General features: G+C 39.1%; 1 protein-coding gene and 1 long non-coding RNA gene across 19 annotated transcripts in view; one reads left to right on the plus strand and one right to left on the minus strand.

Annotated features, from left to right (window-relative positions):
* Window positions 1–13,034, plus strand: part of SUGCT (succinyl-CoA:glutarate-CoA transferase) — a 903,812-nt gene that overhangs the window by 420,500 nt on the left and 470,278 nt on the right. The window lies entirely within an intron of this gene.
* The window catches only part of LOC105375244 (uncharacterized), a 29,984-nt gene continuing 26,671 nt past the window's right edge, over window positions 9,722–13,034 (minus strand). Inside the window, exon 8 of the long non-coding RNA XR_007060293.1 lies at window positions 9,722–9,862. This is a non-coding gene — a long non-coding RNA (uncharacterized LOC105375244). The remainder of the gene's footprint in view (window positions 9,863–13,034) is intronic.

Raw genomic sequence — 13,034 nt, forward strand, 5'->3', positions numbered from 1 at the left:
TGGTTGAGCTTTCACAGGCCCATGATCCTGGGTGTGATAGAACAGTATCTCTCCAACTTAAGCAGGCATCACAGTCTCCTGCGGAGCTGGTTTACACGTAGCCTGCTGGACCCCACTTCTGAGTGTCTGATTCAGTAGGTCTTGTGTGGAGCCTGACAGTGTGTATTTCTAATACTTTTTGGGGAACTCATGACAAATTCCAATATTCCAGTATTCTAACAATATTGTAAGGAAGTACAATATTGCTGAGTGGTATGATTATGAAAGTGCTCAATACCTTCATATCTCGGTGTGGCTGCTCATGTTTGAATGGTCTTGTAGGCTTTCCCCAAGTCTTTCCATTTACAACACCTAGATCAAATGCTACATCTTTAATGATGTTTTTGTGACTCCTTTAACCAGGGGATAAAACATTTGCTGTTACTCTTCTCTCTAACTTCTTAGCAATGTGTTTGCCCCTCTTATAATATTTATCACCATGTACCCTACATAAAGTATGCCTGTCTTTCTGCCAACACATAATCTCTTTGAAGGGGAGTGTATTGGTCTCATTCATCTTGCTTCTTCTAATGCTTGGTACAGTGCCTTAGATGCAATACATATTGTTTGCCCTGTGCCCAGATCCCTTGAGTCCACTTTTTGACCTCTGTTAAGTCTATCCTCCACCTTCAGCACGCTTTGTTCCTAACAACTTGAACTTGTAACTTTCTCCAGAGGACTGAACTTGAATTACTGGAGGCACTTCACTCAGACATATGGAAAGCTGGGATTGTCTAGAAGTTTATCTCCACAGCAGTGTTATGCTGCAGAGTGGTGCAGCAGTATGAAGGCCCTGCTTCTTGCCTTGAGGTGGACACACTACAGCTCCGCAGGATTAGGCTGAGGCAGGCCCTTCAAACCCTTGTTTGGATTCTTCCCCTTCTCAGTCCTGCTTTCCTTATTCCTTTGACTGATTTCTCCTGGGAGCACTTCACTAATGAATCACCTGCACACAAACTCTTGTCTCATGGCTTGCTTCAGGAGAACTAGCAGGTGTTGTGTGAATATTTGTAGAATGAATGAATGCTTGAAAAGGAGTGTAGCATAATAGGAGCGTGGACTCTGTAGCCAGACTGCCTGGGTTTAAATCCCAGTTCTACCACTTAGTGGCCATGTGACTTTGAACAAATTATCTAACCTTTTTGTGCTTCAGCTTTTTTATTCATATACTGAAGCTAAAATAGTACTTTATATGGGGTTATGAGGATTAAATAAATTAATAATTTTAAAGCACGTGGAACAGTTTCTGGCACATAATAAGTGGTGATTAAGTGTTTGTAAGAATAAGCTTTAAAAATTGCGTTGAATGACATTAAAATACACATAAGTAAATGGAAAGACATCTTGTGATTATGGATTGGAAGGCTGTATTAGTCAGATGATTCTACTACTCAAGGCGATCTCCAGATTTAATGCAACCTCTATCAAAATCCCACTAGTGTTTTTTACAGAAATAAAAAACCCATCTTGAAGTGACCTCAAATAACCAAAACAATCTTGTAAAAGAACAAAGGTGGAAGACTCACACTTCCAAATTGCAAAATTTACTTCAAAGCTATAGGAATCAGAACAGTATGATCTGACAGACGGACAAGCATATATAGACTAATGTAATAGAATTGAGAGCCTGGAAATAAACCCACCACACATGTGGGGTAAGCTGAATTTTAAGCTAGGTGCCAAGACTATTCAATGAGGAAAGGAAACTCTTTTTCCCAAAAGTGCCAAGAAAACTGGATCTCCACATGCAAAAGCATGAAATTGTATCCTATCTTGAGATAAAGGTATAAAAGTCTCAGAAGAAAATACAGGGGGAAATCTTCACGACAGTGGATTTGGCAATGATTTCTTGGATATGACCCCAAAAGCACAGGCAACAAAATAAAAAATAGACAAAATGGGCTTCATCAAAATTAAAAACTTTTGTACATCACAAGACACTATCGAGGCCAGGCGTGGTGGCTCATGCCTGTAATCCCAGCACTTTGGTATGCCGAGGTGGGCGGATCACCTGAAGTCAGGAGTTCGAGACCACCCTGGCCAACGTAGTGAAACCCCATTTCTACTAAAAATACAAAAATTAGCTGGGCATGGTGGCATGTGCCTGTAGTCCCAGCTACTCAGGAGTCTGAGGCAAAAGAATCACTTGCACCCAGGAGGCGGAGGTTGCAGTGAGCTGAGATTGTGCCACTGCACTCTAGTCTAGGTGACAGAGTGAGACTCTGTCTAAAAAAAAAAAAAAAGAAAAAAGAAAAAAGACACTATCTTGCAAAAGGACAACCCACAGAATGGGAGAAAATATTTGTAAATTACACATCTGATAAGGGATTAAGAATCAGAATATTTAAAGAACCTTTATTGGTCAACAACAAACAAATAACCCAGTTAAAAAATGGTGAAAGGTCCTGGATAGACATTTTTCCAAAGAAGATAAACAGATGAAAACAGATCAATAAGCAGATGAAAAGATGCTCCACATTATTAGTCATTAAGGAAATGCAAGTTAAAGCACAATGAAATACTACTTCACACTCATTGGGATGGCTATTCCATACAAAAAAAAAAAAACCAGAAAATAAAAAGTTTTGATGTGGGTATGGAGAAATTGGAACTCTTGTGCAGTGTAGGAATGTAAAATGGTGCAGCCTCTGTGAAAAACAGCTTAGTAGTTTCTCCAGAAGTTAAACATAAAATTATTGTAAGATCTATTAATTCCACTCCTGGGAATTACTCCCAGAAGAATTGACAGCAGGGACTCAGATACTTGTATACCAGTGATCATAGCAACGTTAGTCACAATAGCCAAAAGGTGAAAACAACTGAAGTGTCTGTCAATGGATGATTGGATAAACAAAACATAGTATACAATGGAATATTAGTTATAAAAAAGGAATGGAATTCTGATATATTTTGCAGTGTATGGATGAACTTTGAAACATTATGCTAAGTAAAATAAGTAGGGACAAAGGACAGATATCATTAGGATTCCACATACGTGAGGTTCATAGAATGGGCAAATTCATGGAGATTAGAAATAAACTAGATGTTACCAGGCTTCGGTTGGTGGGGTGGGGAGCAGAGTGAGGAGTTATTGTTTCATGAGTAAAGAGTTTCTGTTAGGGATGAGTAGAAGTTCAGGACGTAGTGGTGATAACTGCACAACATTGAGAATGTACTTAGTGCAATTGAATTGTATACTTTAACATGTTAAAAGTGGCAGATTTTATGTTATGTATACTTTACCACAGTTTTAAAAAACATTAATTCTAGTCTTGCATTTTGTTATTCTTGCTCTGCCTCTGGGACCTGGATATATGCATCACTAATGCTGCTTTTCTCTCTCATGAGGGAAATTCCTGTGAATTGTCTATAAGCATTTAAACAATATGCTTGGATAGCTGTGAATTTTTTAAACATCCAGTTAAGAACAGAGAAAAAAAATGCTGTATGTAAATATGAATAAACAAAGGCATAATTAGATTATTTCAAAATTCTTTAGGTTTACTCAGAATTTGCAATAATCCTGTGAGTGCAGTGAGTCCAGTTTAATTATTGATACCATAAAGCAGTCTGAACCTAGAGTTTTCTTCAGCTTTACTGCTTATGATTTTATAAAAGCTCTCCACATGGGTCCACTTGGTTTGGGCTTATAGGCAAATTGGTCTCCAGCCAGATGCTCCATCTCCTTACATGTCACACCTCTCCACAGGGCTGAAATGTTCCCCTGAAGAGAAACTTTTTAAAAGCCCACAAACTCCAATTTAGCTTTGGCAATCACTGCGCTGTGGTGTTTGAGTGTTTTAGACTTAGCAATAAATAATGTTTTAAAACTTCCAATGTTGTATGTCTTATTTGTCGTGCTGTTTGTATCTATAGGCGACAGCCCTGGATATCACAGTATATGAAATGTGATAAAGTCACCCAGTGGTTACAATTGTCCTACCTGTCCCATAGCCTCACATTTCCCTCATTTTTATCATAAATGGTGAAATGAAATGAAGAAGAAAGGGGGTGAGAATGTGTATTTGTTTATGAGATAGTGTCCCTCAAGGAATCAGTTGATAAGTTTGACTAATCTCTGTAACATTTACTCTGACACACTTTTTCATCTTTGTTTGCTATACTTATACATTACTATCTTAAAAACTTTTTGGTTTTCATCTGGGAAGCCCAGTACTGTGGATGTGTGGGATGGAGAACTGACCTATTTAAGTATATGTCATTTATATGAAATTTCATCAAAGAAAATGCAATAGCAACAAAAGGCCAAATTCCATTTAACAAGAACTTTTGAAACTTTCACCACTGTCACAGTTATTTCAAACAAAACCACTTTAAGTCTGTTCTGGAATAAGACAGTGCGTAAAGAGGTAATGCAATATGTTAAACTAATGCAAAAGTTTTGGTATCTGGATAGGCAATGATATATTTTAACCTTTTCTATTTTGGATTCGGATCAGGTCTTCTGTTGTGGATCAATGGTTCTTAGGCAAAAGGGTAGTTTGCTATGAATTATCCTATTTAAAATATCTTGTTACTAGTGGTTCTGTTCTTGAAGAGTGTAAATATAACACATCTCCCCACTTCCTATGCGTGGAGTTAACTATGACAAGAAATGAGTGGCCCTAAGCATACAGCTAGGTTTATCACATGAGTGTTTAGTTAGTGCCCACTGGTTGAAAATCTGAGCATTTGGAAAGTGATACACACACATGTGCATGCATGCATGCACATATATATATACATGTGCACATCATGTACACATGCATACATGTTTTCCCTCTACTTTTTGGGTGGAGGGCCTTGTAGAAAATAAAATGTCCAATGGGCAGAGAGACAGAGGAAAGAATGCCCATGGGACAAAAGGCAGCACAGAGATGTAAAACTAGTTTCTCATTGTTACTTGCTTTTTCCACACAAGACAGAATCATTCTTGCCTAGGGTTAACACTGTCAGAGCATACTCCCTTATGGAAAACACAGAACTTCTGGAACATCTTTTAGGAATGATGTACCTTAAGGTGAAATCCAATACTCCAAGGATCTTAGAGTCCTGAGTAGAGATTATACTGATAGAGACAAATTGGTTATTTCCACCCAACCCTCCAAATTTCACTGTTTGGCTTTGTATTGAAAATTGAAAGTATGTCTTTATTTATTTACTTCCAGTGTAAAACTTGCATGGTAAAAGTTTGTTGATGTGCAGTGTATCCCCAGTGGGAAATTACTAGAACTAAGAAGACTAGGAATATTTGTTTTCAAATAGATTTTTAAATTGACCTTGATAGTTTTCAATGTTTCTTAATTAGTGTTTGCAAATCTGCTGATTTTACGAAAAATCTGTTTCTTGCTGTATTAGAGTATAGCATCACAACAAAATTAGCATTCCATATGTTGTTTTGTTAAACATCCTTGGTGACTTTCCTTAAAATCCTTTGGGAAATGTTTTGAAATTTGTTGAAACAAATATGCAACACTTGAAATTAAATGGTGATTATCACCACATTGTTCCTTCTTAAAAGCATTGCCTGTGTTTGGACTTAGTAGAAATGCTATCACTGAACACATATCTTTCAGAAATTCCTTACGAGTGGGTAAGGCCTAATACAAGCCTTTTTACACAGACTAGGAAAAGCAACTTGCTACAGAATTCTAGCAATGCCATGACGCTATGTGTAGTAGATAGACTTTACCAAAAGCTGGAGTGGCAAGACCCATGTATAACAGCCTTTATTGGATTTCTTCCTTCTCTAATTGGAATGAGCAAATTCAGCTTCCTTTTCCTAAAATCTCCTTCAGTTCTCATAAGTAGAAACAGAAGAATGTATTTCATCTGAAATTGGAGAACTGGGTTGCATCTCATGGTAGTACCACTCATTTTTAACCACTTATTGAAACTGAGAGTCCTATCTGTGTCTTCATTTTAGATTTAAGATTTAGTCAACAGATATATTGAACATCTATTATGTGCCAGGCATTGTGCTTGGGGCTAAAGTTACCAACAGGAATAAGACAAACACAGTGGATTCAATAACCCTACTTTGAGGACATCATAACTTGACAGGGGAGATAACTTGAAGCACAACAGACCTGTGGGGAGGGGTTCACGGATGATTCGCCAGAGGTGGAGATGCTTAAGCCGAGTCTTTTTTTTTTTTTTTTTTTTTGAGATGGAGTCTCGTTCTGTTGCCCAGGGTGGAGTGCAGTGGTATGATCCCAGCTCACTGCAACCTCTGCTTCCCAGGTTCAAGCGATTCTCCTGCCTCAGCTTCCCAAGTAGCTGGGATTACAGGTGCACACCACCATGCCTGGTTAATTTTTGTATTTTTAGAAGAGACGGGGTTTCACCATGTTGGTCAGGCTGGTCTTGAACTCCTGACCTCCTGATCCACTGGCCTCAGCCTCCCAAAGTGCTGGAATTACAGGCATGAGCCACTGCGTCCAGCCTAAGCTGAGTCTAAAAAGGTGAATGCCAGGCCAGGCGCAGTGGCTCATGCCTGTAATCCCAGCACTTTGGGAGGCTGAAGCCGCTGGATCACAAGGTCAGGAGATCGAGACCATCCTGTCTAACATGGTGAAACCCCGTCTCTACTAAAAATACAAAAAATTAGCCGGGTGTGGTGGTGGGTGCCTGTAGTCCCAGCTACTTGGGAGGCTGAGGCAGGAGAATGGCGTGAGCCTGGGAGGCGGAGCTTGCAGTGAGTCGAGATCGCGTGACTGCACTCCAGCCTGGGCGACAGAGCGAGATTCCGTCTCAAAAAAAAAAAAAAAAGGTGAATGCCACTTTATCTGGTAGAAAATGCAGGATGGGTCATTCCATGCTGAGTGACTGACGTGTAAAGACTGAGGCAATGAGGTGTAAAATGGTGTAGGATGCTGGTGTGATGGCAGTTTCTTCAGTGGGGTTCGAGACAGGCCATAAGGTGTAGATCTAATGTATTTGTAAAGGTATACAAGATGTTTTCTGCTGCGTGAGGAGATTGAACTTCAATTTGTAGGACTGAGAGACTGAAGAATTTTGATGAGGGACAGAAATTGATCAGTGTGGGAAAGGTGGAGAGACTGAAGACAAAGGTATTAATTATAATGGAAGCTGTTATAATAGCCTGGGAGATGATGGTAAGGGCCTGACCTAAATCGTTACAGTGGGATTTAGAAGGTTCTCCTGTTTAGGTCTGAGAGATAGGAAGAAGGACCAATTTCACGCTAAGGAAAGAAGGGTCAGACAGAAGGAATGATGATGAACTCCAAGGTTTGTGCTATGCAAACTGGGGGCACGGCCACACCATCCATTGTTAAGAGAAACAGTAGAGATTTTAAGAGGAAGAAAATGAGTTCGTTTTGGACATGTTTAATTTGAGGTTACAGTGAAACAGATCGGAAGTATGGATCTTGGACTTGGCTCTGATAGTTGAAACATTTTATTTCTCTCTCTCAGTGGCTTAAGACTTCTACTTTCTGTGAGGGAGGGGTCCAAGGAAGGGAGCGGGGTTGAACTCCTTCCCCTCTTCCTCCGCCCAAGTAACGGTGGATCATCACGCACATGCACATGCACCTGAAGCGCTCTATGTCCCGTCCTCCTCCCATGCTTTCTTAGCAGCAGGGAGTGGTTGCCCAAAGACAGGAGCTTGTTGGAGACTCCCCTTTTATCTGCGACTTCCAGTTATTCTGTCATGTCGTTCCATCCTCGGACTTGAAAATTTGTAAAAATTTTAGCTATTTTCATCTTGCCTGCTTTTATGGTAGCTGCTTCTTCCTCCCATGTTCTACCAAAGGTGAAATAGTTCAGATACTGTCTGTTCTTAGAAGGGTTTGACAGTTCTTCGGTATTTGGTTTACGTGGTTGCCTTCTAGGAAATGCTAAAGAAAAGTCATTATTTGGGCTGTGTGTGGTGGTTTATGCCTGTAATCCCAGCACTTTGGGAGGCCAAGGCAGGAGGATTGCTTGAGCCCAGGAGTTTGAGACCAGCCTGGACAACATAGTGAGACCTTGTCTTTACAAAAAAAAAAAAGAGAGAGAAAATAACCAGGCACAGTGGTGTGCCCCTATATTCCCAATTACTTGGAAGGCCGAGGTGGGAGGATCACTTGAGCCTGGGAGATCAAGGCTGCAATGAGCCGTGATTGCACCACTGCACTCCAGTCTGGGCAACAGAGCAATACTGTCTCTAATGATAATAATAATAATAATAATAGTATTAATAATAATAAAAGGGGGGGAAAGCCTCTTATGGCTTTCTGCAATCTAAGTGAAAGCAATACTCCTTCTGTGAATGAATTTTTATAATTAAGCACTAGCAATTATTTTAGAATATGATCTGAAAGGCCTACTTGTGTATAGCTGCTGGCAAGTAGAGTATATAAAAAGTAGTCCCCCAGAGATGTCGAGGAGACAAATACAGATATCAGTCCTTAAAAGTCCACAGCACAATGAGTGGGATATGTATATACAGAGAAAAAAATATCTAGAAGTAAACATACCAAAACGTTTCTTATCTTTGGGTTGTTGAGTTGTAGGTGATTTATTTGTTAAAAATATGCAACGTCTTGGCCGGGCGCCATGGCTCACGCCTGTAATCCCAGCACTTTGGGAGGCCGAGGCAGGCGGATCACGAGGTCAGGAGATCGAGACCATCTTGGCTAACACGGTGAAACCCCATCTCTACTAAAAAAATACAAAAAAATTAGCCGGGTGTGGTAGCAGGCGCCTGTAGTCCCAGTTACTCGGGAGGCTGAGGCAGGAGAATGGCGTGAATCCGGGAAGCGGAGTTTGCAGTGAGCCGAGATCGCGCCACTGCACTCCAGCCTGGGCGACCTGGGCGACAGAGCGAGACTCCGTCTCAAAAAAATAAATAAATAAAATAAAATAAATGCAACATCTCAAACGATAAGCCTATGTAACTTTTATAATTCAACCACCGTCATGTCATAATAAGGGAATAATTATATCTGTAGGGTAGAGGAAAGGAATGTACTTGAAATTTCTCTTTATAAGAGTTAATTTCAACTTATTCTGTTAACCTGTCATGAAACAGAATCTCAATTTCTTTTCCTACTGGAGATATGTCTGTCCTTTACATCACCATTTAATATCTTGACAATGAAGAAAATTGTATAACCTAGAAAGGGCTGAATATTACTGAGCCCTGGGACCTGGGTCAATGATACTTGTAATGTGACTGTCTTCTAGGAGGGGCTTGGCCTAACTTCTTGTGCCCACTGATAGAAGGAATCAGATCTCCCTAATGGCAACTTTCCCTTTCTGTTAGTGAACTGGGCACTCTAAGAGACGTATTTATTACTTCAGAGCAGGCTTTTGTATACTGAGAATGAAGACAATTTTTCTGTCTCCAAAATGCCCAATATGATCCTGGTCTAGGTAAAAATCACTTGCTAACTATGTTCTCATGTAAGTAGCTCAAGATCCAATTTCCTGTACCCCAGGAAGAATGGTAATCCAGGACTGATAACCACATCCTTCAACTAGAGAAACTGGATTCTGAAGAAGTACTGTAGATACTAAAAATATGTTGTGGATGTGGGCAGTTGTTATTACCAGAATTGGCTTTAAGGAACGTTGAAAAATAGGCAGAATTCAGCATTATTTTATTCTCCTTTTAGTAGCGTTCTCTCAATTTTTTACCATTACTCATGCCTTCTTGAGAATCAAATGGAAAACTTACCCCCTAGGTCTCTTTTTGTCCAGACACTTAGGAAACCTCCTTTCTGTTGATAGTTATATTGGCCAGATTTGTTAGTCAACTAATTTGTGGAATACACTGATGACTTGAAGTGGCTAAATTATTATACTGCTCAGGTATGTTCTGCAAAGTAAAGGGAATATGGCTTTGATTAATGGAATAAAGGTCTAATGGTAGATAAGTTTCTGCTGGGGCATAGGCTATCCCCATTATTTCTTATATTAATTCATCTTTTCTTTGATTCAACAAATCTTTATTGCACATCGTTTATATACTAGGTATTGTTTTCAGCATTGTGCTTTACTTTAGATGGAAACCCTATTCATTGGACCACCCTAGTCATTGAACACGATGATCATCGTGACCCTGTTCTGCTCAAATCCTCCGATGTCTTTCCATCATGATGAGCGTGAATTCCAGAGGTGGAATGATCCGGTCCCATTTACCTCTATTATCTTATTTTCTATCTCTATCCAACCTTCTCCTTCTACTTCAGCCTCACTGACCCCTTTGATGTTCTCTAGCACACTAAGCAAGCTCACACTTTGGCATTCTAATATTTCCTGTTATATCTATATGGAATATTCTTTTTACAGACATCCTTGGGGCTTACTGCCTAATTTTATGTAGGACTCTGCTCAAATGTCACCTCAACAGAGAGGTTTCTCTTGATCACTCTCTTTCCTTGCTTAATTTTCTTCGTAGTGATCAACACCTGGCATATCACACACACACACACACACACACACGCACACACACACACACACACACACACACACACGAATATAAGCTTCATAAACTCAGGTGTTCCTGGCCATAATATACACTCAGTGAATATGTGTGTTTGTTGAATGACTCTGCTTCCCATGGAGCGTCTACAGTGTAGTCTTCTTAATCTTGAGTTCTTATCTTCTCCCCAGCACATGACCAAGTAAACAGACAGAATATCATTACCACACCAAAAATAATAATTAAGGAGATTCAATCATATGTTCCAAGTGCTTAACACAGATACTATTAGTATTAGATCTACACATTCCTTTCCCAGGAAGGGCCCTGTTTTCAGGACATTTGGCCGTCGTGACTCTGGTATGGCTCTGCTGTTATTTTTACATGGTGTTAATGTGTTCCTGACATATTTCAGAGACCAGGCTTGTCATTTACTTTGAGGGGTCCCATGAATTTCTCTCTTACACTTTTCAAATGAAATTTCAGAATTGAATCAAATTTATTGTTTCAATCAAAATGGATTTGAATTACAGATGTCTGATCCCTTAAAAACAGAGCTAAAAAAAGAAAGCTTCCATCAACTTCAGTTCTTCTTTGCTTGTCTGCTACAAACCAGAACCAAGGACTTTCTATGAGACCTTAAAAATCTTTATTATGTTAAAAAACATCATGCATATTAAGCTAAATGCATTCTATTTGCTTATATTTTAAGGTTTGTTTCATCGAGGAAGTGGTATAACCCGTGAGCAGGTTGTGGATGCTTTCTCAAAATGTGATTATTGCTCATAAAAGCTGTTTTAATTGAAAATTTTATGCCATGGAAAGCCTATAGCAATCTTAGATGCACATACCTATATTTATATCTATAGTTTATTTTTAAAGATTCCCTATACAACACTATTTTGAAATTACTAAAGGGATTTTCCTTCCTTTTTGTTATTCATCTGGGTAACTTAAAAAAATATTGCTGTTATGTTCAACTGTTGGCACTGTTGCAGGCAACTAAAAGCTTAAGAAAATTATTCCCTCGCCTGTCCCCCCAAAAGCCACATCTAAAAAGGTCACGAAAGGAAACACACAATTCAAATAATCTCCTTGCTGTATCTGAGATTAACTTGAACGCAGATGTTTTAACTTACAGTTTGATCTGGCGTAATATATACATTTAACAAAATCCTGTTTTGTATTGCTTCTATAAACACTGACGTTTGATAAAAGTGTATTGATTTTTCTGCTATTTAAGAGCTTTTGAACCAGTGCTTAAAGCAGGTTTTCTTCAAGGCCTAAATTAACTCTTTCAGCCTTTGACTATGGTTTACATGTAGGGAGTTGTGTGTGCATTAAAAGTATGTGTTTGTTTATGCTGGAAATGCATTCGAATGGCAAACCATTTTGTGGTCTGCAATATTTTACTCAGTAGGGATAATCATTAGACTTTGTTCTTGATTTTTTTCTTAGGAGTTTAAATGATTCAACACTATTCATTACCGCTCATTTTGGAACCATGCTGTAATCATCATAGGCCTAGATATTATCTGAAAAGTTACTGAATAGGGGATTTCTTCTAGCACTCTGGGCATTTCAATGTGGACCTCATCCTTCCTCCTCTCTATCCTCTGGTCTTTTCTCCAGCCTTAATGTGAGGGCTCTCAAGAAAGTGGGAACATCCATCCAGTTTAAGTCTGTCTTGCTTTCAAAGTTGTTCTCACACTCTCTTCTTTGTTGGCCAACATTCTAACATGTCACAAGTTTCTTTTCTTACTTTGTGTGGGAGCACAGAGCCACACAATTGCAAGTAGGCTTCTCTAAGTAAACCGTGTCTTCAGACTAGGTAACTCCTGGGGAAAAATGTCCAAATTTAAAATAGCAAAAGAAATTTCAAATTGAGCAACACCACAACCTTTGAAGCTACAGAAGGTTGCTGTTATGTGGAATCTCTTATGATGGCATACAAAGAAAGACTGTAACTTATGTAAGACACTAGCTTACATGAGGGCTTATTAGACTTTGTCATTTTCAAAAGTCTTCAAATGAATGATTCCATTTGAGTCTCAATATAACTTGGGTATTTTATTAGATATTTCCATTTTGCAAATGATGACATCATATCTGAGAAAGGATAAGTGGTAGAGGCAAGAACCTAAGTTCTGCATTTCTTTTCTTTTACCAGCCAGAAAGATCATGTCTCTCTGGACATAACGGAGAAGCAAAAAATTTGATTCAGTGGAAAGTTAGTCAAACGGCTATTTTGTGATGCTGTACCACATTTCTTAATTTTTAAATTCATCATTCAGGTACATAGTAAGCATAACCTATAACCCTGATAAGAATATTTCTTTATCAGTGATACACACACACACATGCACACACACACACACCCCTCAAGAACAGGGTCAAAAACAGATGGAAAACTCCAAACTAGAAACCTATAAGGTTTTGTACAAAGGACTGTTACCCTAAGATCTTTCTCAAACAAAACTTATAGAAAATGAAAACTGTTTGAGTGATTGCTATAAAAAACAGCTTTCAGAAGAATGTGCTCCTCAGCTCCCAGAGATTGCCTCTT

Source organism: Homo sapiens, chromosome 7 (genome assembly GCF_000001405.40).
Source record: "Homo sapiens chromosome 7, GRCh38.p14 Primary Assembly".
Classification (NCBI taxonomy): domain Eukaryota; kingdom Metazoa; phylum Chordata; class Mammalia; order Primates; family Hominidae; genus Homo; species Homo sapiens.